The sequence below is a fragment of the Homo sapiens genome, chromosome 9 (genome assembly GCF_000001405.40).
Source record: "Homo sapiens chromosome 9, GRCh38.p14 Primary Assembly".
NCBI classification, from domain to species: domain Eukaryota; kingdom Metazoa; phylum Chordata; class Mammalia; order Primates; family Hominidae; genus Homo; species Homo sapiens.
Genome location: NC_000009.12, coordinates 39464660 through 39491396, shown reverse-complemented (window position 1 = coordinate 39491396; position 26737 = coordinate 39464660). Strand labels below are relative to the sequence as shown.

Genomic DNA, 26737 nt, shown 5'->3' with positions numbered 1-26737 from the left:
ATTCAAACTATGCCACCACTTCCATCAGCTTTTTAAATCAGGTAAGATAGAAATAGTCTTCCAGTCAATCTCCAGATAAGCTCCTCTCTTCCTCTTCCAGCTTGAGGCTGGAACTTGGATTGGACAAATTCCTCCTGATCACATCACACTATGTTGAAGAGGAGGTGGGTTAAGGGCAAGAAAAATGCCATGAAATTTCATACTGCTTCCAATGTGGCCTTTTGTTCAGTTAGGCATTTGCTTTGTTTCTTAGCTAATTTTAGGAGTTCTTACAAAGTGACTTTGGTCTATATATTTTTTATTTGACATTTTTATGGGAAAATATGGCCCTGGAGCTTCCTAATCTGCCACTTGCTGATATATCTTTAATGAATGAAATAAATTAATAAAATCAGAAACAGGACATATTTTATAATATAAATATACAATATCTTAAGAAGAACAATTTGGATGCTGGCATGAATGTTAATCCTTCTCTTTTAGCAAAAACGTTTCCACATTATTAATAGCGCTCCCTCTATCAGGGAGTGCCAAAGTAGCGTTCTTTTAGTATTGGAGACCCAGCTCTTAGTGTTTAGGTTTATGTATATCTGCTCTGCTTCTGAACAGTACATTACTTCAGAGTTAATTATTTTATTACCTACTTCTAAAAGAAGCAGTAGCTTCTAGTTTGGCGTAATTGTCAACTGCTTACATTTAAAATAATACAACATAATTTAATGTCTGACTGTGATAAATGCCTGTGAGATTTGCCTCCAGATGCAGGCACTGGTACCCCCTTACTGGGCATCCTCCTCTCATACTCTGTTCTCCAAAGACCCTCAAACCTTTTCTTCCCATGGAGGAGTATATTAGTCTGTTTTCAGACTGCTCATAAAGACATACCCGAGACTGGGTAATTTATAAAGGAAAGAGGTTTAATTGACCCACAGTTCTACGTGGCTGAGGAGGCCTCAGAATTATGGTGGAAGAGCAAGGGATGCTTTTCCCAGGCGGAGAGAAAGAGAACCAAGTGAAAGGGGTTTCCCCTTATAAAACTATCAGATCTTGTGAGACTTATTCACTACCACAAGAACAGTATGGGGGAAACCACCCCCATGATTCAATTATCTCCCACTGAGTCCCTCCCACAATATGTGGGAATTATGGGAGCTACAATTCAAGATGAGATTTGAATGGGGACACAGCCAAACCCTAGCAAGGCGTTCTTGTAAAGGAGTGGCATCAAATCCTCCTTACTTGCTCATTGTCATGATCCTGCATTTAATTGATGGGGCAATTCCACATAGTACAGTATCCCTGTAACTCTGCAATTCCCCTGAATATAGAGAGCATCCAGGTGAAACTGTACCAAGTATCCATTAAAAGAAGACAAAATAACAATTTAAAAAGTGTAAGAATGAAAATTTTTGTTTTCTCAGCCATCATATAAGCATTTGTATTATATACACTTGTAGCCAAATATTATGGAGTCAGGTTTGTTAGAGATTTAAAACATGATATAATTGTAACGTATCATATTTAAGAAAATAAGTGATTCTGTACCAGCTACTTGAATTGGACATATTTGATTTTTTTAATGCTAAGCTGTAAATAATTTATACATTTTATAAATATGTAGTATGAGTTTCAACTCAAATTCTTTGAGAACAATTCCCTAAATGGAAACATTAAAAGTCATGGAATGCAGTAAAAAGGAAATTACCAAAAACACCTACAAAACATAAAGATGAAATTCAAGTGGTCCAATGGATAGGAAAATGTCCTGGAGTTGAGAAAATTAAGGACCTTAAAAAATTATTGATCAAGTGGCTTCACCCAAGATTACCACTTTTTTAAAAACAGGATATGAGAAGATTTAAATGATGTAGTTCAGAACACTTAGAAATGTATCTCATGGCTTTAAACAGGATAGACTCTTAAAAACAAATGGTCAGATTAACACCTTACGCTGTCCTGAATCCTGTTCAAATGGGATTTCAAGCATTTATGAGCACATCATGGTAGTAAGAAACTGGAAGAAACTGCAACCTTTAACATGAGGATGTTTGCAAAATGGTGCAAAGTTGGAAGAAGAATAGAAATTACAGAAACATCTCTGTATAGCATTATAATTGCTAAATGTGTATATTTAGCACTTGATTTTATAGATGAAAAATTGAAACTTAATTTAAGAATAAATGTCTTTATTATTTCTATTTATAGATAGAGAACAGGAATGGAGAATTCAAATGACTCACCAAAGTCACACGGTAATTTTAAATGTTGAAAATGTGACCCAGATCAGACTCCAATTTTGTGGGTCTCCTTATCTATGTTCTGCCTTCCAGAATCAGGAATAGTCCCTACTGACCTCTCAGTAAAAGTGGTGACAATGCTAAAATACAAGGTCCTTAATGTAGATTTGAGATTTTCTAAATAAGTTACTTTTTTTTTTTTTAGAAATAATTTGACAAAAGTGACATTCATTTTTTTCAACAGACGTTATTTGAGTGCTTATTTTATGTCCCTGGGTCTGAATATTTTCTTTGTAGTTATTTAAAGTAATGAATAAGCAGAAGCAGATATAGATTACCAATTTACATAAAGTAATGTGTTTGTTAATGGGTGTACCTCTAAATTAATATACTGGATTCTTTCAGATAAATATCATTTCACTGTTTTAATAGATAAACAGATGAACTCTATTAGAGGTTAAATAATATTGCCAACGTCATACAGCAAATAGTTGATCCAGACTTGGAACACAAGTCAGCAAAGATTGCGAATCCCTTAATTTTCAGCGATGTCACACTGAGTGACAGGATCTCACAGTTTCACTAACAGAAAAGTTGTTGACATATGTATACTTTAAATTTAATTGTTCATAAGAAACTAACAATTTACATAGACTTGAAATGAATCAGGCATCTAGAAATAAAATGTACTTAAATATGCAATGATGGTCATTTTGGGGACAAAGAGTAAATTTAGTGGCTTACCAGCCACTAAAAATGGGTTTCTGCTGGCTAGAGATGAGACTCAGCCGTGGAATGGGCAGGAAGATTTTAAACGAATGTTCCGCATCCTGTGCATTGGACACAAGACCAGAGCGCTTCAGGCAGTTGCATAATCCGTTACTCCTGGCCACTCACACAGATGGAAGTTATGAAGGGACAAAAAAGTGTGGTATAGAGAATATGGTTTCTGTACTCAGAGACATCTGGATATGAATTCCAATTTCCCCACTCACCCACTGTTTGTTTGAGTAAGTAATGCTAATCCTTAGTTTCCTAACTTGTAAAATTTGGGTAGTAAGAGCTAGCCATAGTGTTATAAAATAATATATATGAAACTCCTACACAGGGCCCAATACACCGTAGGCACTCAGTCCAAAACCCCCACGGTGTTCCAGATGCTTAGCTCACTCCTTTCCTTACAGGCATCTGGAGATGGAGAGCCCCTCATAATAAAAGCTGACTTTTTTTTGAGACAGAGTCCAGTTCTGTCACCCAGGCTGGAGTGCAATGGCGCGATCTCCGCTCACAGCAACCTCCACCACCCGGATTGAAGCGATTCTCTTGCCTCAGCCTCCCGAGTAGCTGGGATTACAGGCATGCGCCACCACGCCCAGCTAATTTTCTATTTTTAGTAGAGACAGGGTTCTCCGCGTTGGTCAGGCTGGTCTCTAACTCCCGATCTCAGGTGATCCGCCCACCTCGGCCTCCTAAATGGGATGACAGGCGTGAGCCACTGGGCACCGCTGGCAAAAGCTGACTTCTATTAAGGGCTTATCACATGACCATAGGTAAAGGAGGGCAAAAATTATCGTTCATTTTACTTCCTTAAATAGGCGATACAAACGAAACAGCGATAAATTCATTGCTTAGGTTTTCCAGAAAAGTTTTTATAGTTTCAGGAATGGCATCTCAAAGGAAAGATAATTCTATGAACTTACCACAGTTTGTTTAACCATTCACTATAGGAAAACATTTGGGTTATTTCCAGCTTTTGGTTAATACAAATAAAGCCACTATGAACAACCGTACACATGTTTTCATGTGAACAGAAATGTTCCATTTCTCTGTAATACTGTAATGCCTAAAACTTTTATTGCTGGGCTGTATGATAGATACGTGTTTAGTTTTATTTAAAAAAAACACATAATTTTATGAAAGCACCGTCTATTTTATAAACACCACGTAGTCTTAAGTCCTGAAGACTTTCTCCTATGTTTATTTTTCTAAAATATTTATAGTTTTAGGCCAGGTGCGGTGGCTCACACCTGTAGTCCTAGCATTTAGGAAGGCTGAGGAGGGCGGATCACCTGAGGTCAGGAATTACCGCGACCAGCCTGGCCAACAAGGTGAAACTCCGTCTCTAGTAAAGATGCAAAGATGAGCCGGGCGTGGTGGTGGGCGCCTGTAATCCCATCTGCTCGGGAGGCTGAGGCAGGATAATTGCTTGAACCCGGAGGCGGAGGTGGCAGTGAGACGAGATGGCGCCACTGCAGTCCAGCCGGGGAGAATTTGTGATCCATTTTTAGTTCATTTTTGGTAAGATGTGAGGTTAAATGTAAAGTTCATTATTTTATCCATGGATGCATAATAATTGTCCCAACACAATTTATTGAAAGGTTACCCTTCCTCCATGTAATTGTTTTTACAGATTCATTGGGCATAATTGTGTGGGTCTGTTTTTGGATTTGCTACTCTGTTCCTGGGTTCTAGGCGTCTCTGCCTCTGCCAGCAATACATTGCATTGTTTTCTGTAGACATATAGCAACACCAGGCACAGGGATTCCTCTCACTTTACTCTTTTGAAAATTGTTTTCACTATTTTTGGTCCTGTGCCTTTCCATATACGTTTTAGAATAAACTTGTTTATGTCTACAAAACATTTTGTTGGGACTTTCGTAAAAATTGTACTAAATCTGTAGGTCAACTTTTGAAGTACTGACATCTTTAATATGTTGAAATTTCCAATTCATGAACATGATATATATCCATTTATTTAGGTCTCCTTTGATTCTTTTCATCAGCATTTTCTAAATTTTAGGATACAGATCTTTTATGTATTTTGTTAAAATTTGTACATAATTTCGTACCTAAATATTTCCTTTTCTATGAGATAATTTTAAATCATATTGTGTTTTAAAGTCCATCTCCACATGTCTGTCGTTAGTATGTTTTTGTGTGTTGATCTTATATCCTAAAAACTTGCTGAATTCACTTAACTAGTTCTACTCAGAAAATCATGTCATCTACAAACTGGGAGTGTTTTAATTTTTCTTTTCTTTTCTTTTTTTTTTTAAATAGAGAACCCACAGTTTAGTTTTATTAAGAGGAAAAAAAAAGAAACTTTCAATCATACCAGAAGAAACTTAGCCATACACTTGGAAACTACTCAGATTGCTCATGCAATGATGACAGTATTCTGCTAACAGAATTGATTTGCTGCTGCATTTGTCTAACATTAGAAACTGTAAACACAGCAGTACAACTAGTGTTTGGAGCTGTCTTTATAGTGTTACAGTGTCAGACACATTTTGCCTCTCATCACACCACAGTTCTCTTAGTGCACCTCAGCTTCCTTCTCTTCCATAAAGTCATTTTGATATTGAAGGACTTGTCAGTTTCCTTAGGAGCTTTCCCCTTGATCATATTGGCAAGAGTGCTGTATGTAACATCAAGGAAACTTGATGTCTAAGTAGTCTGCAGCCAGAATAAGTTTAAAAAGTGCTCCTTGGTCAACTTTAAGGAATTCCTGATCCCAGACAGGAGTATGGTCTGTTCCCCTTTCTTTGTTCTCATCACCCTGGGGAGGAGGAGGGTCGTCCTTGTGGTGAGTGCACCACTGAATGACCTTTTTAAATACTGCTGCATTAATATTTGGTAGAGGAACTAGGTCATCATATCCTTCATCATTCATCATCCACTCAAAATCTTCCAACATGGTTTTGATAATCACAGATTATTTCTCAATTTCCAAATCAACTTCAAATATCTCTCCATCAGAACTCTGCATCACGAATGGGGCAACTTTTTGTTTTTTGTTTTTTGTTTTGAGATGGAGTCTCACTCTGCAGCCCAGGGTGGGGTGCAGTGGCGCGATCTCGGCTCACTGCAAGCTCCGCCTCTCAGGTTCATGCCATTCTCCTGCCTCAGCCTCCCGAGTAGCTGGGACTACAGGCGCCCACCACCACGCCCAGCTAATTTTTTGTATTTTTAGTAGAAACGGGGTTTCACTGTGTTAGCCAGGATGATCTCAATCTCCTGACCTCGTGATCAGCCCGCCTCCGCCTCCCAAAGTGCTGGGATTACGGGCGTGAGCCAAGGTGCCCGGCCACAAATGGGGCAACTTTTCCAAAAGCTGCAACTTCTAGATCAGGAATATACTGTTCTTTGTAAAAGGCAACAGTTTTTTCTTTGCCAGGGGGATTCAGTGATGTGATTCTACCTACATTGTTTCAAGAAATGTTACAAGAAAAATCTAAGCAACACTCTCGAATTTTGGGGACTTATCAGTTATTCCTGCTGATGTGTAGCCAAGGACCCTGAAAAAGATTTTTAACTTGCCAACTAACAAGACATCACTTACACAGTAAAACATTTCAAAGTTAGATTTTAAAAAATACTTTGTAAGCACTTACAGTTCAAACAAGCAACATGTTATTCCAGTTACACATTTTTACAACAATGCATACAGTGAGTCAGCTCAGAGCCTCATTCACAAAATAATTTACCTTCTTATTCCTTTAGGATAAATTTTACCTAAACCTCTGTTAGACATTTTTTTAACAGAAACACAGACCAAGCACTTCATACAGGCACTTCAGGTGCTACTCAGTAGCTGCTAGAACATCCTTTCTATTTAGCTAGAAGCTAAGGGGTTGTTGGGAGAAGGGGCATGGCGGGAGGCAGATAGAAAGAGGAAGCAGCTCCTACCTATCAACAAAGCATTGTATTTACTTTTGGTTTTAAGTGACCATTTTCTAGGTCTCACCAAATGCACTTTTTAATGACAATATTTTAAATTACAAATATGCAATATTCTGCTTAGACCTTAAGAGGCTTTATGAAAATGAAAGCATAACCTTGTTTTCATGGTAAAGGGGATTTTGAATTTTTTTTAAAGCTAAAATAAGTTGAGATACACACGCAGAGACACATGCACACATATATCCAGATTAATGAAGAAATCATATTGTGAAGTCTCTAACATCAGAGGTCTATTTTTAGTGCTAAGGTTAAACAAATAATCAGTAGTTTTCATCTTATTTTAGTTCTGAAATGTATATGCTCTTTTAACCATGAGTACCTTGAAGATCAAAGGGTTACCTAGCATGAAGGGGAACTTTGCTCATCTGTTAAAGATGTCTTCAGAGTTTAAGTGAACTCTATCTTGCAGTCTCTGGGAGGAAAATAGCTTGAAAATGGGCAAAAGAAAGCATGAAAAATCAGACAGGGTACAGTGGCTCACACCTGTAATGCCAGCACTTTGGAAGGCCGAGGTGGAGGGATCACTTGAGGTCAGGAGTTCGAGACCAGCCTGGCCAACATGGTGAAACCCCCATCCCTACTAAAAATACAAAAATGAGCCGGGTGTGATGGCAGGCGCCTGTAATCCCAGCTACTCTGGAGGGTGAGGCAGGAGAATTGCTTGAACCCTGGAAGCAGAGGTTGCAGTGAGCCAAGATCATGCCACTGCACTCCAGCCTGGATGACAGAGCAAGACTGCAACCCCTGCCCCCCAGTAAAGAAAGCGTGAAGATTCGGGCAGTCTGCATAGATGCTATGGAAAAGAAAGACTGGATGCAGGCCAGGTTGGTTTGTTTGTTTTTTCCAAAGTTCATTTATTTATTTATGTATTTATTTATTTTTTCTGTGGTGAAATATGCATAACATAAAATTTGCCACTTTAACCATTTTAAAGTGTGTAATTAAGTGACTTTAAGCATGTGCACAGTGTTACACAAGCATCACTGCTATCTATTACCAGAAATTGTGGATAATCCCAAACAGAAACTGTGTAGTCAAAGTCCCCATATCCCATACTCCCAGCATGGAAGTTGAGACTTCCCTCTTATAGGGCTTCAGAGACAGGATAAAAGACTCTTTACATTCCTCCTCTTGTCATTGGTATTACCCAAGTGAAAGCACGTAGAGATCTCTGGTGGTGGGTGGGGTGCAGACGCATAGATCATGGTAATCTGCGTTCTACTTTCTGCTTCTGTGAATTTACCTATTCTAGGCACTTCATATATGTGGAATCATAAAATATCTGTCACTTTGCCTCTGCCTTATTTCACTTAGCGTAATGTTTCAAGGTTCATTCATGTTGTAGCAAGCACCAGGTATTTCATTCTCTTTTTAAAGCTGAATAATATTCCACGGTGTGTACATGCTGCATTTTGTTTATCCGTTCATCTGTCCACACACTTGGGTTGCTTCCACCTTTTGTTTTTTGTGATTGATGCTGTTGTGCACGATGGTATACAAGTATCTGGTTGGGTCTTTCTTTGGGGTCTGTATCTAGAAGTGGAATTATTGGATCATATGGTAATTCTAATTTTTTGAGGAACCACCAAACTGTCTTTCACAGAGGATGCATCATTTACATTCCCTCCAACAGTTGCACAAGGGTTCCAACTTCTCACCAACACTTGGTATTTTCCATTTTTTTCCAATAACGACCATCCTAAATGGGTATGAATTGGTTTCTAATTGTGGTTTGGCTTTGCAATTCCCTAGTGACCAGGTATGCTGAGCTTCTTTTCATGTGCTTATAGGCTATTTATACATTTTTGGAGAGACGTTGATTCAAGTATTTTGTCAATAAAAAAATTCAGTTAGTTTTATTGCTGTTTTGAATTGCAGAAGTTGTTTATCTATTCTGGATATTAAACTCCTATCAGATATATGCTTTGTAAGTATTTCTGTGAGTTGTGTTTTTACTTTTTTTTTTTTTTTTTGTGACAGAGTCTCGTTCTGTCCCCCAGGCTGGAGTGCAGTGGTGCGATCTCCGCTCACTGCAAGCTCCCCCTCCTGGGTACACGCCATTCTCCTGCCTCAGCCTCCCAAGTAGCTGGGACTACAGGTGCCCACGACCACGCCTGGCTAATTTTTTGTATTTTTAGTAGAGACGGGGTTTCACTGTGTTAGTCAGGATGGTCTCGATCTCCTGACCTCGTGATCCACCCGCCTTGGCCTCCCAAAGTGTTGGGATTACAGGCATGAGCCACCATGCCCAGCCTTTACTCTCTTGCTAGTAGTATCCTTTGATGCAGAAATTTTTTAATTTTGATGAGTCCAATTTCTCTACATTTTTCCTTTTGTTGCCTATTTTGGTGTCATATCTGAGAACACTGACAAATCTAATGTCATGAAGATTTTCCAATAGTTTCTTCTAAGAACTGTATAGTTTTAGCTCCTAAATTTATGTCTTTAATCCATTTTGACTTAATTTTTGTATGTGATATAAGGCAAAGGTCTAATTCATTCATGTGCATGTGAATATCCCGATTTTCCACACCGTTAGTTGAAAAGACAGTCCTTGCCTCGCTGAATAGTCTCAGCACCTTTATTGAAACTCATTTGATCATGTATGTGAGGGTTTATTTCTAAGTGCTGTATTCCATTGCATTCATCTTTGTGTCTATCCTTATGGCAGTACCACAATATTTCATTACCATAGCTTTGTGGTAAGTTTTAAAATCAAGAAGTGTGAGAACTCCAACGTTGTTTCTCTTTTTTAAGATTATTTTGCATATTCTCACTCATAGGTGGGAGTTGAACAATGAGATCACATGGACACAGGAAGGGGAATATCACACTCTGGGGACTGTGGTGGGGTGGGGGGAGGGGGGAGGGATAGCATTGGGAGATATACCTAATGCTAGATGACGAGTTAGTGGGTGCAGCGCACCAGCATGGCTCATGTATACATATGTAACTAACCTGCACAATGTGCACATGTACCCTAAAACTTAAAGTATAATAAAAACAAAACAAAACAAACAAACAAACAAACAAAAAGATTATTTTGGCTATTCAGGTTCCCTTGAGATTCCATATGAATCTTAAAAAGGGTTTTTTGTCTTTTAACCATGAGCATGGGATGTCTTTCCATCTGCTTAATATCTTCTTTAATTGCTTTCAGCAATATTTTGTAGTTTTCAGTGTACAAGTCTTTCACTTCCGTGATCACGTTTATTCCTAGGTATTTTCTGTGATGCTATTGTAAGTGGGAATGTTTTTCTTATTACCTTTGCAGGTTGTTCATTGTTAATGTATAGCAACACAACTGGATTTGCTGATTGATTTTTTACCTGTAACTTTGCTGAATGTGTTTGTTAGATCTAATACTTTTTCCTTGTTTGTTTTTGTGGAATCCTTAGGGTTTTCTACATAAAGATCACCTTAGTGACCAGACATAACATTACTTCTTACTTTCTAATTTCAAGTCCTTTTTAAATTTTTTTCTTGTTCATTTACTTTGGACAGAACACCCAGAGTTATGTTAATTGAAGTGGTAGGAGTGGGCCTCTTTATCTTGTTCAAGATCCTAAGAAAAAAAAAAGTTCAGTCTATTAGCATCAAGTATGATGGTAGCAGGGAGTTTTCTTACATATATAGTGTTTATTATGTTGAAAAAGTTTCCTTCTACTTGTAGTTTATTGAGTTTTTTCTTTTCTAATTATGAGAGGATGTTGATTTTTTTCAAATGCTTTTCCTGAATCAATTGGGATGGTAATATGTTTTTTTTCCTTCCTTCTTTTAATTCAGCTTGCTAGTATTTTCTTTTTTTTTTTTTTTTTCTTTTTTTGAAACAGAGTCTCACTCTGTTGCCCAGGCTTGAGTGCAGTGGCATGATCTCAGCTCACTGCAACCTCTGCCTCCTGGGTTCAAGCAATTCTCCTGCCTCAGCCTCCCAAGTAGCTGGGACTACAGGCCTGTGCCACCACACCCAGCTAACTTTTTATATTTTTAGTAGAGACAGGGTTTCACCATATTGGCCAGGCTGGTCTTGAACTCCTGACCTCGTGATCCACCCATCTCGGCCTCCCAAAGTACTGGGATTACAGGCGTGAGCCACTGCACCTGGCCATCAGTTTGCTAGTATTTTCTTGAGGATTTTGTGACAATATTCCTAAGGGATATTGGTCTGTAGTTTTCTTTTTCTATACTGCCTTTTTCTGGCCTTGGTATCTGGGTAATGCTGGCTTCAAAGAATGAGTTCAAAGAATGGTATCTGGGTAATGCTGGCTTCAGAGAATGTTCTCTCCTCCTCCACTTTTTGGAAGGGTTTGAGAAAGTCTGATGTAAATCTTTCTTTAAAATGTTTGTTAGAATTTACCAGAATAGCCCTCTGATCCAGGCTTTTCTTTGTCAAGAGAAATACTTAACACACTTAAATGTAAGGCACAAGTTGGTAGCTGGTTTCAATCCCATCTCCAGCTGCCTGACTCCAAACATGTATCAACAGACAGCATATGCTATCAGATCCCAGGGAGTCTTCTAATATTCTCTAGCTTGACCCATACAGGCCCTAAATGGGTAGAATAGGATTTGCCTGACCCTTAGGAGAGAGCATATGCAACCAGATTTCAGCAATTTTTATGTCATCCCCTAATCTGTCTCATGCAATCCCATCTAATACTAAATCTTGGAGAGTCTTATCTCTCCTAAACTGCTCCATTTCATCCTTTGTTTGGAGAGCTTGTATCACCCTCCCCTTTTATCCCACCATGTAGGTGAGAACCTGTGCAGGGAATCTATCTTATCCCCAACCTTGTCCACATGGCCCCATATCTTCCAGAGGAACATTGAAGCTGTATTGGCCCATGTAGGGTGGAGTCAGGCACACACAGCAGGCAAGGCCAACAACGAAGTCATTTGGTCTAGAAAGACACACCAAGTTGCTTATAGATTCAAGGAGTTTATTACAGAGACAATGAAAGAAAGAGTAGCCAAAGGTGACAGCTCCCAGCCCTTGTGCCACATGCCTAAAAGGGCACCACTAATGTAAAAAGGGTCAGATAACTGCAACATAACTCGTGGGAGACCACATTCCTGAGGAACAAATTCTAGATGACAGTAAAGGGCATTATGGTCTGTAGCTAAACCCTAGGTAGGAGTAGAGCAGAAAGCATCATTCCACATACCAGCAGGTAATAAGCAACTGTCTTATAACAACCTCCTAAGAGGGATAGGGAGGCAAATGGGTGATGGTATTGAGGCAGCTTCTCCCAAGCCTTTTTCTTATGTTCCAGGAGAATTGCAAGCTGCTATGGCAAGACTCAGATTAGAGGCAGTTCCATTTTTTTTTTTTTTTTTGAGACGGAGTTTCGCTCTGTCATTCAGGCTGGAGTGCAGTCCAAAGTGCTGGGATTACAGGTTTCACCGTGTTGGCCAGGATGGTCTCGATCTCCTGACCTCATGATCTGCCTGCCTCGGCCTCCCAAAGTGCTGGGATTACAGGTGTGAGCCACCGTGCCTGGCCAGCAGTTCAAATCTTTGTTGCTTGTCCTATAGGGATACATACAGAAAGGCCACCATGTGGCTTACGCCTGTAATCCTAGCACTTTGGGAGGCCGAGGTGGGCGGATCACGAGGTCGGGAGATGGACACCATCCTGGCTAACATGGCGAAACCTCGTCTCTACTAAAAATACAAAAATTAACTGGGCGTGGTGGAGGGTGCCTGTAGTCCCAGCTATTCGGGAGACTGAGGCAGGAGAATTGCTTGAACCTGGGAGGTGGAGGGTGGAGGTTGCAGTGAGCCAAGATCGCGCCACTTTACTCCAGCCTGGTGACAGAGTGAGACTGTAAAAAAAAAAAAACAGCCACCCCATGATGGGGCTCTTCCCTTACACATTTCTGTTTATTTTTGCTATCAATTGTTGACAAAAGAGTGTTGAAATCTCTACCCTTTAATTGTGGGTTTGGCTATTTTTTCTTTTTGCACTACAGATTTGCTTAAGGCATTTTAAAGTTCTGTAATTTGGTGCATAAATATTTAGGATTTCGATGTACTCTTTCTGAATTGTCCCCTTTATTGTTAAGCAGTGTTCTCTTCATGCCTGGTAATATTGCTTTATCTGAACTTTATTTTATTTGATATTGAAGTAGCGACTCCAACTTTATTATGTTTAGTATTTTCATGTTGTAATTTTTTGCATTCTTTTACTTCTAACGTATTTCTGTCAAAATAGTATAGTTTCTTTTAGATAGTATATTGTTTGAACTTTTATTAAAGTTTAATGGACTCATTAAAGTTTAATGTCATTTAGGCTTATGATTCAGGGGCATCTACAGTGATTGATCCCATTTAGGTAATGGAAAGAATAGTTTTGTTGTCAGTTTTGCCCAAAAGAAGTTAATATGAGGATTTCATTTGACCAAATCTAAAATTGTCTTTTCTTCTACCTTCAGAAGCATTAAAATCCATGTGGCTGGCCCACATTCTAAATTATTTTTCATTTAAATTGTACTGCACTACAAAACAAGAAGTGATCTTCAGGTAAGTTGGAGCAAAGAGAACCTCCATTGTTCCTTTTTTTTTTTTTTTTTTTTGACAGTCTCGCTCTGTCGCCCAGGCTGAAGTGCAATGGCACAATCCTGGCTCACTGCAACCTCCACCTCCCTGGGCTGAAGAGATCCTTCTGCCTCAGCCTCCTGAGTAGCTGGGACCACAGGCATGCACCACCATGCCTGGCTAATTTTTGTATTTTTTGGTAGAGATGGGGTTTTGCCATGATGGCCAGGCTTGTCTCGAGCTCCTGACCTCAGGTGATCCACCGCCCTCAGCCTCCATTGTTATTACAGGAAGTGTGTGAACAGAAAGGCCCCAGGCGTCATTGATTACCGTCAAAAAGTATCCAGGAGGAAATCCTAGATAATCAGAAGTGGGCACTTGAAAACATTTCTCTCAAGACTCTGCTTTTACAGAACTTTACTTTGGGAAATTTAGAAATGATGTATCTAATGTGGGAGAGTAAGGTGGAAAGTAAGGTACAGAATGTAACTAGGCACCGGCAATATTACTTAAAGCTGACAAACTAATTAGTAAAATTATAATTAACATTACAAATATAAAAACTTAGAAATAAAGGAAACTAAAATTGGAGGTTGAAGAATGAGTTGAAAGATAAACATACTGAGGCCGGGCATGGTGGCTCATGCCTGTAATCCCAGCACTTTGGGAGGCCGAGGCGGGTGGATCACGAGGTCAGGAGATTGAAACCATCCTGGCTAACCCGGTGAAACCTCGTCTCTACTAAAAATACAAAAAATTAGCCAGGCGTGGTTGCGGGCGCCTGTAGTCCCAGCTACTCGGGAGGCTGAGGCAGGTGAATGGCATGAACCCAGGAGGCAGAGCTTGCAGTGAGCTGAGATTGTGCCACTGCACGCCAGCCTGGGCGACAGAGTGAGACTCCATCTCAAAAAAAAGAAAGATAAACATACTGATTTTGTCATTGGTTATGAAATAGGAATTACTAAATAATGTTTAAACAAACATTGTCCTGTTAAAATTGCTCCAAATAATGGGAATGGTCTATACTTGGATTTTCAACACAATAGTTACTTGACACAAGTAGCTATTGGGCACATTAAATGTGGCTAAAGTGACTGAGGAACTGATTTGTTGTTATATTAAATAATAAAGGCAAATAGTTACATGTGGTTCATGACTCTCATCAGGCCACAGAGCTCTAACTAAATAGATAATTATGGAAATTATGTAAGATTCTAGTCAAGAATTATAAAGGGCATGACATTTTACCCTATCTGCAAGCTAACATGTTAGCTTGCCAAGTTTCATGGATTCTGGCAGGAGATACAAGACTTCTGGGTCAAAGACAAAGGATTTTATTGCTCACGGCCACAATCACATCCAGGGCACCAGCATTTTTTTTTGTGTTGTGATGGCATGCAGGGTACACGTATGACAAGCTTTCAGTATAAAATTATTTTTGGAAACAAAACATTTAAAAGGGATTAACAGCTTGTCTAGACTAAAGCAGACCACACTATGGATTTGTAGAGTGGTAGTGTGAACACCAAATGTCCATGCAATTGAGGTAAAACTTTTGTTTTAAGAATGTTGTCTCTTAATTCTTTTATCTACTAGTATCTTAAGCAGTGATTTCGGGGCCATATTAGGTTTTACAGGACTGGCCTAACATTGTTGCCTGGAATGTGGGTAGCAGCAGGATGATAACAGTAGAGTACACACAAGAATTTTTGTAAGAAATCAAAACTAAAAACTCTAAGGAGTATGTCTAAGGCTCTTTGAATCAATAGAAACTAAATATCTTGAAAAGTAGGTGGAAAATGAGTTGAAGATGCATCAGGGAAATGACTGTTTTGGCAAAAATAAGTGAACAGATGGGAAAGAGGAAAATTGTAATTTGGTGGTGAGGATGATCACTGTTGAACAACACTGATATCATAAATAGACAACGGAGCCAAGATAGAGTGATGAACCCAATCCAGAGAAGTGGAAAATGACTTTTACTCCCACCAGTTTCATACTTCTGCTTGTGCATTTATGTCTGTGATGTGATAGGGATATTACAGCTTGGGTTATAAGTCTGTTCTTTAAATATAGGTAACTTTTGACATCCTAAATTTATTTTCATGATGAGTGGAATGGTAAAGAGAGAAGTCCAACCGGAAGTATATGGACTAATGAGTATCCTACCAATGTAATTTTTACTTGACAGTTGGAGAATCTGGACCCTGTTATCCCTCTCTAATCTAAACCCTGTCTCTGATAAAGTCCTGACAATTTTTGTGCACTGATTTTCCTTTTTATTCTACTTACTCTTCACATGTCTTGTTTAGTTCACTATGTTATCTGATTTTCCATTCCTAGAATTAATCTTAAAGACTATTGTTCTCTATTCACTATTTCTTCCCTTTATTTCTCTTTCCCACTGAGTTTTGAAAAATCACATTTTAAAATGCCAAAATACCTGTGTACATTCAATGCCAGTTTCCCAAAGAGAATTTTTCTGAACATATTTCTTTTCCAAATGAAGAAAATATAGAAAATATACACTTGGAATCACTTTATTCTGTGGATAATATGCCAGAAACCAAAATATCTAATCTGTAATAAGGCTTGTGTATATAAGTTTTATTTTATAAGAAAAGATTAAGAGACCTTATTTTTTTATCATTTTTAGAGGACCATCAACTTGATAACATCTTAGAAAAGAGTAAAGAATTAAAAAAACCATTTATTTCAGTTTTATTCACAACTTTGGGGAGTATACTTGCTCCGTAAAGAGCAAAAGTATGTTTCTAGGAAACTATGAGATCTGGGCATAAATATATTTTCTTCAAGAAAACTGCCCTGTAAGTATGCACTGCAGGCCCTCATAACCTGAGTATGAATTCACTGGCCTTGTGTTATCAATATTTAAGAAAAAGAGATGGCTCTCCAATATTAGACATCAGAGAACAAACACTGGAAAGATATCCTGTAAGAATTGTCAAAACTTGAAAGCTCTTAGAGCTGTTGAGTGATGCCAGGGAAAATGGTAAGGTAGAAAGCATCAGGGCTCATCCTCCACAGAAACACACACACAAAAACAGAGCAAAATCTGTCAGAATCAACTTTCTCAGAACTCTGAAAAATAGTCACAGTTTACAGCAACTGAGCAAATGCTACGCCAAAACAGAGGCAACTGAAACATGTGTTTAAGGAAATCTCTGTCAAACCACTAGCTGACCACAAGATAAAGGAACAAAAACTTCAGAGGCTATCTTAGTCCATTTGGGCTTCTGTAACAAAATACAATAAACTGGGTAGTTAATAAACAGCAGAAATTTATTTCTTACAGTTCTGGAGGTTAGAAAGTCCAAGATCAAGGTGCCAGCCTGCCCTTTCATAGACAGTGCCTTCTCACCGTGTCCCTACATGATGGAAGGGGCTACTCAACTCTCTGAAGTTTCTTTTATAAGGACATTAATCCCAATCATGAAGTATCAGCTCTCAAGATCTAATCATTTCCCAAGGCCTCACCTCTTCACACCATTACCTTGGCGGTTAGGATTCCAACATAGGAATTTTGAGGGAAGACATATACCATAGCAGGTGCCATGAAAAACAAAGAATACAGTCTTTAAAAAACTGGTTTATAAAAGTCAGTATACAAATAAGCAACTACAAACCATGGTGAACAACAGTAACAGAACTTTAAAAGAGAAAAACGTATTTTCAGAGTGACCACATTATAACATTTAAAATGTCCAGTTTTCAACAAAATATTCTAAGTCATGCAAAGACATAAGAAAAAAATGGCTAATTTACAGGAAAAGAGAAAAGAGAAAGTATCCTTGAGCAAGAACAGACATTGAACTTTATAGACAAAAACTTTAAATCAAATGTCCTATAGATGCTCAAAGATCTTAAAGGAAACCATGGAAAAGTAACAAAAGGAAAGCAGAATGCAATGTATAAAAACTAGAAAATATCATCAGGGAAGTGGAAACATAAAAGGAACAAAATAAAAATTTAGGAAATGAAATGTACAATATGCAAGATGAAAAGGTCACCAGAGGCTTTCAACAATACATTTGAGCAGGCAGAAGGTAGAATTAACAATCTTGAAGATAAGTCATTTGAAATTCTTCAGTTGGAGAAACAGAAAGAAAAAAGAATAAACAATAATGAACAGAGCTTGAGAGACCTGTGAGGCATCATCAGACATACTAATGTATGCACACTGAGAAAAAAAGGAGGGAAAGAAAATGACTGAAACTTTCCAAATTTGATAATTTAAAATGAATCTACCTATCCTAGAAGCAGCAAAATGGTGCTGGAAAAGTAGATATCTATATGCAAATGAATGAGCTGACCCTTACCTTACACCATATACAAAAATTAACTCAAAATGGATCAGAGACCTAAACGTTAAGTGCTAAAACTCTGCAACTTTAGAACACAATGGAGGAAACTCTTCACAACACTGGATTTGGCAATGGTTCTCTAGATCTGACATAAAATGTACAGGCAGCAAAAGAAAAATAGATACATTGGAATTTATCAAAATTAGTAACTTTTGTGCATCAAAACAGTCTCAGTAGAGTGAAAAGGTAATACACAGACTGGGAGAAAATGTTTGCTAATCACATATCTGATAAGGGATTAATATCTAGAATATATAAATAATTGCTACAATGTGACAACAAAAAGAAACAATCTAGCTTGAAGATGTGCAAAGGACATGAATAGAGACATTTCCCCAAAGAAGATATACAAATGGCTTACAGACACATGAAAAGATAGCCAACATCACCAGTCATGAGGGAAATACAAATCAAAATTGCGAGATACGACTTCACACTGATTAGAATGGTTATTATTTAAAAAAAAAAACAAGTGTTGGTCAGGATGAAGAAAAATTTGAATGCTTGCATATTGCTGGAATGCTATAGCTGCTGTGGGAAACAGCGTAGCAGCTTCTCAAAAATTAAACAGAGAATTACCATATGACCCAGAAATGGCACTTGTGGGAATATATCTAAAGAAATTGAAAGCAGGGACTTGAACAGATATTTATATTCTCGTGTTCCTAACAGCATTATTCACAACAGCTAGCATGTGGAAGTAACCCAAGTGTCCATTAATGGATGAATAGATAAATGAAATATGGTATATACATGCAATGGTGCATATTCAGCCTTAAAATAGAATGAAATTCTGATAGTTGCTATAACATGAGTGAACTCTGAAGACATTATGCTAAGGGAATGAAATAATCCAGTCATAAAGGACAGATATTGTATGATTTCACTTATATGGGGTATCTAAAGTAATCACACCCATAGATACAGAAATTAGAAAGGTGGTTGTCAGGGGGTAGGCGGGGGAAGGAAGAGGAAGTTATGTTTTTTAATGGGTACAGATTTTCAATTAGGGAAGATGAAAAAATTTTGGAGATGGATGGTGGGGATGGTTGCACATCCATGTGAATATTCTTAATTCCACTGAACTGTACACTTAAAATTGGTTAAAATGATAAACTTTAGTTAATGATAAATTTTATGTTATTTTATCTCAAGAAATTCTTACTAAGCTATCATGAATGGATTTAGCAGCCGCTGATGAATATTGCCTACAACCATTATTTCAGGTTGCACGGTGGTGATAGTCTTTTAATCCTTGTGAAATTATTAACTCTATTTTTTCCTACAAAGAAGGCCTTTTCCTCTTTAACTCTGTTACCCTAAAACAGTTTGTACTGCATCACTTTTAATAATAGTCATGATTTTTTAATGATAATCAGTTTCATGCAGTTTGAATGAGCGTCGGGTGATATGGCTTCAAATTCAGAATATTTAAGAATCTCTGCTATTTGAAAAATGTGTGTAATATTTGTGAACTGAGAAAAGAACCCAAAGTAGCTTCAGAATAACAAGAAAATAGTTATTCTAGGCCCGGCGCGGTGGCTCATGCCTGTAATCCCAGCACTTTGGGAGACCGAGGCAGGTGGATCACGAGGTCAGGAGATCGAGACCATCCTGGCTAACACGGTGAAACCCCGTCTCTACTAAAAATACAAAAAATTAGCCGGGCACGGTGGCGGGTGCCTGTAGTCCCAGCTACTTGGGAGGCTGAGGCAGGAGAATGGTGTGAACCCAGGATGTGGAGCTTGCAGTGAGCCAAGATCATGCCACTGCACTCCAGCCCGGGCAACAGAGCGAGACTGTCTCAAAAAAATAGAAAGAAAAAGAAAATAGTTATTCTAGCCAGCCAGATTCGTAAGCAGCCATTCTGGTGGGTTTGTAAAGGGATAGTCATTCTTATTCTCTCTCAGTCGCACTCTCCATTGCTCTGATTACTCTTGTCTTGGTCTAGTTGGCCTGGGAGTGACGGACATTTTCACAAATTAACTTCTTGATTTGAATAAGAAATAATTACTTTAAAAAAAGGAAAGGACCCATATCACTTTGCCTTCTTCATCACTGAGGTTTGCTTGACAGTCTAGCTCAGACAAAAGAGAAGGTGTTTGCTAGCCTGGCTTGTGGTAGGCACTTCTCAGAGTAAAGCCAAAGGAACATTCTTAATGGCTTCAAGTGTCTGCACTTGACTTTTATGTCTTCCTCAAATGGGATAAAATCTTTCCCATAGTGAGCGCTGGTTTTCCTGAGTGGGGGCTTACCCTCCATTCTATTCTGCACATGATCTCTTCCCTCCCACCTTTTGAGCGTGAGTGTCAGTGTTACCTCTTCAGAGAAGCGCCTGCCAACTATGAGAATTCCTGTCCTTGTCTTCTGCTCTGTTGTCTCTCATCATAGTCCTTATCATCTCCACCTCTAGATGCTAAGCTAGGGGAAGGTAGGTAATGTCTTGTTAATTACCAGAAATCCACTGCCTGGTAGTATCTAGCAGATTTAGGTCCTTGTTCCTTTCTCAAGAAATATTTGAGCACATATATGCTCAGTGAGACAAAGACAAGCTCCCTGTCCTCAGGAAGTTGCCATTTTGTTGTAGTCAACATACTTAGGATACTTTGTGTAGTGAGAGAACTATGAGAAAAAAGAAAGATAATAACAGAGGTGAGTAGTGCTACTATGGATGGTCACAGACTCAATTAGCTTAAATTCTTTGATAAGATACTTCATGGAATAAAGTAGAAGCCTGGAAGCAAGTCTGACTGAACTTCACAAAGACCTGTTCTTACAGCATAAAGCAATGCAATTCAAAACACAATAAACAGACTTTGGTTTCTGGTCTGACATGCAATGAGTTTGGAAGTCATTATTCTTATCTTCTGCAATAATAAGGTTGAACAAACTGAAAACTAACAACTCTTCTTAGCTCGAGTAGAGAATTGAGATCATGGGACAAACTGTTATCAGGACAACTGGAGAAACAGACAGGCAGATACAGAGAATCACAGCTTACCAGGAGCAGATTCCCAGAGGGAGATGTCCACAGCAGTACGGGTAGCAACATTTTAAACTGTAATTCGTAAATTGCTAGAGGCTCAATGTGGACTAAATTTAGAGTTAAGAACTCAGAAGAAACCTGGTCTTGGAGGCAGCCCCAACACTTCGCAGAGTTTTACTTGCAAGATCCCTACCAGGTTCTCAGTATGGAGATCAGAGAAAATTCCTTTGATGATTTTTCTCAGGGTGGAGGGGAAAAGTAACCATTTTTGAGACGTGCTCAGAGCTCTCTGCTCCCCTTAACAAGGCCCACACTCAGGGGAACTACTTTACCAGAACCCAGCCTAAAGGATTTTTATGAAAACCTAAGTGACCTGGGGAAGGCAATCCCCAACCCCAGCCCCCTTCAGACTTTAACACGGAGGAAAAGAAATACATAACTTCAGTTCACTAAAAGACTGGGATCTAATCAGAGGATTATAGAAGGCTTGCCCTCCTCACACTCATTACTACTGCATCAGTAGAGCTCCTGCATGATAGCCTGGAATTACAGTTAAAAGAACTGCAGGCTCAGACCCTATTTCTGGAGTCTATGAACACCCAAAGACAAGATGGGAGACAGAAACAAGGACACTAGAGGAAACTTTTGCTTTTGACTTCACAGCTACCACAAACAGGAAACACAGTTTAACTCTTAGCCAGATAAACATTAAACTTTACATTAAAGATCTATCTACTGCAGTTCCTTTTATCTGATACATAGTATTCGGCTTCCAATAAAAATTGCAGTGCATTAAAAGGCAAAAATAACACAATCTGAAGAAACAAAGCAAGCATCAGAACTGGACTCAGAATTGGCAGAGGTTTTGGAATTACCAGACTTGAAATGTAAAATGACTCTGATTAATATGCTAAGGGCTATAATGGAAAAAGCGAATACCATGCAAGAACTGATGGATAATGTAAACAGGGAGATGTAAGCTCTAAGAAAGATTCAAAAGTAAATGTTACAATTCAAAAACGATGAAACAAAAATGAAGACTGCTTTCATGTGCTCATCAGTAGATGGCATATAACTGAGAAAGACTCTGTGAGCTCAAAGATATGTCAATATATACTGCCAAACGTTAAATGCAAAGAGATAAAAGATTTTTTAAAAACAGAACAGAATATCCAAGAAGGTGAGATAATTACAAAAGTAACATACATATAATGGGAATACCAAAAAGAGAGGAAAAATGAAGATAAGAAATAGTTGAAGTAATAATGGCTGATAATTTTTGAAAATTAATAACAGGCACCAAACTATAGACCAGGAAACTAAGAGAACACTTATCAGGATAAATATCAGATAACATACACCTAAACATATCATATTCAAACTGTAGAAAAATAAAAAACAAAGAGAAAATCTTGAAAGGAGGTGGGTCGGGGGAGGGGATGTTACATGTTGTGAAACAGAGTAGCAACCACATCAGACTTCTCTTCAGAAAGCAGGCGAGTGACAGTGGAGTGAAATATTTAGTGTTGGCCGTGGATCACGGCTGTAGTCCCAGCACTTTGGGAGGCCAAGGTGGGTGGATCATGAGGTCAGGGGATTGAGACCATCCTGGCTAACACAGTGAAACCCCGTCTCTACTAAAAATACAAAAAAAAATTAGCCAGGCATGGTGGCGGACGCCTGTAGTCCCAGCTACTCGGGAGGCTGAGGCAGGAGAATGGTGTGAACCCGGGAGGTGGAGCTTGCAGTGAGCCAAGATCGTGCCACTGCACTCCAGCCTGGGCAACAGAGCAAGATTCTGTCTCAAAAAAAAAAAAAAAAAATTTTTAGTGTTGACAGAAAAAAATTTGTCAACTTAGAATTTCACATCCAATGAACAACTCTGTGCCCACAAATTCTATAACATAGATGAAATGGACCAATTCCTTAGAAGACAAATATACCAAAACTCACACAAATAAGAAATAGACTACTTCAGTAGGCCTATATCTATTAAAGAAATGGAATTAATAATTAATAACTTTTTATAAAAAGCTCCAAGCCAATATAGTTTCACTGGTGAATTCTGCCAAACATTAAGACAGAAATTCTCTACAATCTTTTCAGTAAAATAGAGGGGATGCTTTCTAACTAATTCTATAAGCCAGCAGTGGCCTAAGATTAAAATCAGACAAACATATTAAAAGATAAGAAAACAATAGACCAATGTTTCTCATGAATATGGAAGCAAAATCCCTCAACAAAATATTAGCAAATAGAATTCAACAATATTTAAAAGGAATTATATACCATAATTTGGATTTATCTCAGGTATGTATGCACAGCTGTTTCAACATAGAAAATCAATTAATCTGGCCTGGGCATGGTGGCTCACACCTGTAATCCCAGCATTTTGGGAGGCCAAGGCAGGCAGATCACGAGGTCAGGAGTTTGAGACCAGCCTGACCAACATGGTGAAATCCCGTCTCTACTAAAAATACAAAAATTAGCTGGGCATGGTGGTGTGCATCTGTAGTCCCAGCTACTCAGGAGGCTGAGGCAGGCGAATCACTTGAACCCGGAAGGCAGAGGTTGCAGTGAGCCAAGATCACGCCACTGTACTCCAGCCTGGTTAACAGAATGAGACTCCATCTCAAAAAAAAAAAAAAGGAAAAAGAAAATAAATTAATCTAATCCATCTTGTCAACTGGTTAAAGAAAAAAATCATACAATCATATCAATAAACACAGAAAATGCATTGGACAAAATCCAATCCCCATTTATGATAAATACTCTCAGCAAACAAGGAATAGAGGGAAGCTCCTCAACTTGATAAATAACATTTACAGAAAACTCATAGCTGACATCATAGTTAAATGCTGAGAAAGAAAATGCCCCTAAGATAGTAATCAAGGGAAGGATGTCCCCTCTCACCACACCTATTCAACATCATACTGAAAGTCCTAGCTAATGGAACAAAACACGAAAATGAAGTAAAAAGCCTACAGATAGGGAAGGAAGAAATAAAACTATCTTTGTTTGCAAATGATATGATTGTCCCTGTAGGAAACCCCAGAGTTGACAGACAAACATCTGGAACTAAGTGATTATTAGCAAGATTGCAGCATACAAGCTTATTATACAAAAGTCAATTACATTCCTATAAGCCAACAATGAAAATTGGAATTTGAAATTTAAAACACACAATTTATATTATCATTAAAACAATGAAATACTTAGGTATAAATCTAACAATATGCATGCAAGATCTATATGAGGAAAAGTACAAAACTCAGATGAAAGAAAGAAATAACTAAATAAATGGAGAGATATTCCATGTTAATGGATAGGAAGATTCAATATTGTTAAGATGTTAGTTCCTACCAACTTGATCAATAGATTCAACACAATCTCAATAAAATATCAGCAAGTTATTTTGTAGACATCAACAAAATGATTCTAAAGTTTATATGGAAATGCAAAAGACCCAGATAGTCAACTCAATATTGAAGAAAAAGTCAGAAGACTAATACCACCTGGCTTCAAAAATTACTATAAAGCTACAGTGATCAAGGCAGTGTCATGTTGGTGAAATAACTGACAAGTATTAATAGATCAATGGAACAAAATAGAGAACCCAGAAAAAGACCTACACAAGTATCAGCAACTGATCTTTGACAAAAGAACAAAGGCAATACAGTGGAGAAAAGATAGCCTTTTCTACAAATGTTGCTGGCACAATGTGAAATAAAAAAAGTTATGCTCCAAAGTTGCTTCCACATTTTCAGGTATCTTTATAGCAGTACCCCACTCCTGGTTCCAAATTCTGTATTAATCCATTCTCACACTGCTATAAACAGCTACCTGAGATGGGGTAATTTATGATGAAAAGAGGTTTAATTGACTCATAGTTCTGTAGGCTTACCAGGAAGCATGACTGGGAGGCCTCAGGAAACTAACAATCATGCCAGAAAGTGAAGGGGAAGCAATCACATCTTTACCATGGCAAAGCAAAAGAGAGAACGAAGGGGGAAGTGCCACACACTTTTAAACCATCAGATCTTGTGAGAATCCACTATCACCAGAACAGCAAGGGGGAAATCTGTTCCATGATCCAATCGCCTCCCATCAGGCCCCTCCTTTAATTTGACATGAGATTTGGGCGGGGACACAAATCCAAACCATATCAGGCAGTGAAACTATTTTTTATGATACTGTAATGGTGGATATTACATCATTGCATTGGTGGAAATCGCACTAAAAGACATGCATTTGGCAAAACTCAGAACTGTAGAACAGACAGAATGAAAGCTAATATAAACTATGTATTTTAAATGTACTAAACTAATGCAATATATTAATAATAGGGGAAACTGTGTGTGGGTTGATGAGCGGAGGTATATGGGAACTCTGTGCTTTCTGCTCAATATTTCTGTATACCTAAAACTGCTCTGTACATCTATTAATATCCCAGCACTTTGGGAGGCTGAGGTGGACAGATCGCTTGACCCCAGTAGTTTGAGACCAGCCTGGGCAACATAGTGAAACCCCATCTCTACAAAAAAAAAATACAAAAGGCCAGGCACAGTGGCCCACGCCTGTAATCCCAGCACTTTGGGAGGCCGAGGCAAGGTGGATTACCTAAGTTCAGGAGTTTGAGACCAGCTTGGCCAACATGGTGAAACCCTGTCTCTACTAAAAATGCAAAAAATTATCTGGGCGTGGTGGCACATGCCTGTAATCCCAGCTACTTGGGAGGCTGAGGCAGGGAATCGTTTGAACCCAGGGGGCGGAGGTTGTGGTGAGCCGAGAATTGCACTGCAGCCTAGGCAACAAGAGTGAAAATCCGTCTCGAAAGAAAAAAAAAAATTAGCCAGGCATGGTGGCCCACACCTGCAGTCTCAGCTACTCAGGAGGCTGAAGTGGGAGAGTAGCTTGAGCCCGGAGACGGAGGTTGCAGTGGGCCGAGACAGCGCCACTGCACTCCAGCCTGGGCGGCAGAGCAAAACCCATCTCAAAAAAATAAAATAAAATAAAATAAAATAAGAAAAGTCTATCAATTAAAAATTAAAAAAAAGTTATAGTACCTATCTATTCCTAATTCTTTAAACAGTCAGATGGGTATACACGTTTCAAAAAAGGTTTCCTCATGAAAATGCAAGGTTGGTGTAATAATCATTTTCATATTTTGGGTTGCATGTGTTTTCACGCATCACATATGTATTTTGAACAGCTAGCTTCCTCCTCCAACCCCCATAAACCCTGCTGATCACAGATGTTACTCGTTTATGTTTTCTAGTATTTGTTCGATTTCACAACCTTATTCATAAAGCTATTTTTATGTACTTTTACTTCCCTTGGCAACTTTGAATTTAACGGCATACTTCCGAAGGGATAGTAAAGCCTCTCCACTCCCCCTGCACTGCACTGCCCCACACGTCTTTTACTGAGTATGAAAAAAAAAAAAAATCAGACCCTCAGAATGGTAGAAAATAGTAAAATGAGCATCATAAGCACGTATTATACAGATTTAACAATTCTTCACTTATTACTATATCTGCTTTCATTGTTTTGAGAAATTTTTAAAGTATTTCAATTAAACTACAAGCATACAATTGTAAATGTTTCTGTACATATCTTTTAAATATAAGAACAATGTCCTACATCGTCTAGCTATTATTCTCAAAGTAACGGTAATTTTCTTTAATATTTCTAATGTCCTGTCGATAGTCATGTTTCCCCAATTGTTAATGTCTGTTTCAGGTGCTTTTTTCTCCAACCAGGATCGCATCAAGAACCACGCTTCGCAGTTTGTGGTCATGCTGACAACCTCCGGGAATTTGGGAAATCCCTGGGCTCCGAAGGTCCCT

At 38.5% G+C, this 26737-nt stretch overlaps 1 pseudogene, besides 1 other annotated feature; it reads right to left on the bottom strand.

The window, feature by feature from the left end:
- Positions 5294-6005, bottom strand: SKP1P3 (S-phase kinase associated protein 1 pseudogene 3; annotated as a pseudogene).
- Positions 26665-26714: an enhancer, noted in NCBI's record as "active region_28419". NCBI's record gives its function as "activates an Ori minimal core promoter by ATAC-STARR-seq in GM12878 lymphoblastoid cells {active_cell/tissue: GM12878}" and the evidence as "EXISTENCE:reporter gene assay evidence [ECO:0000049][PMID:35858748]".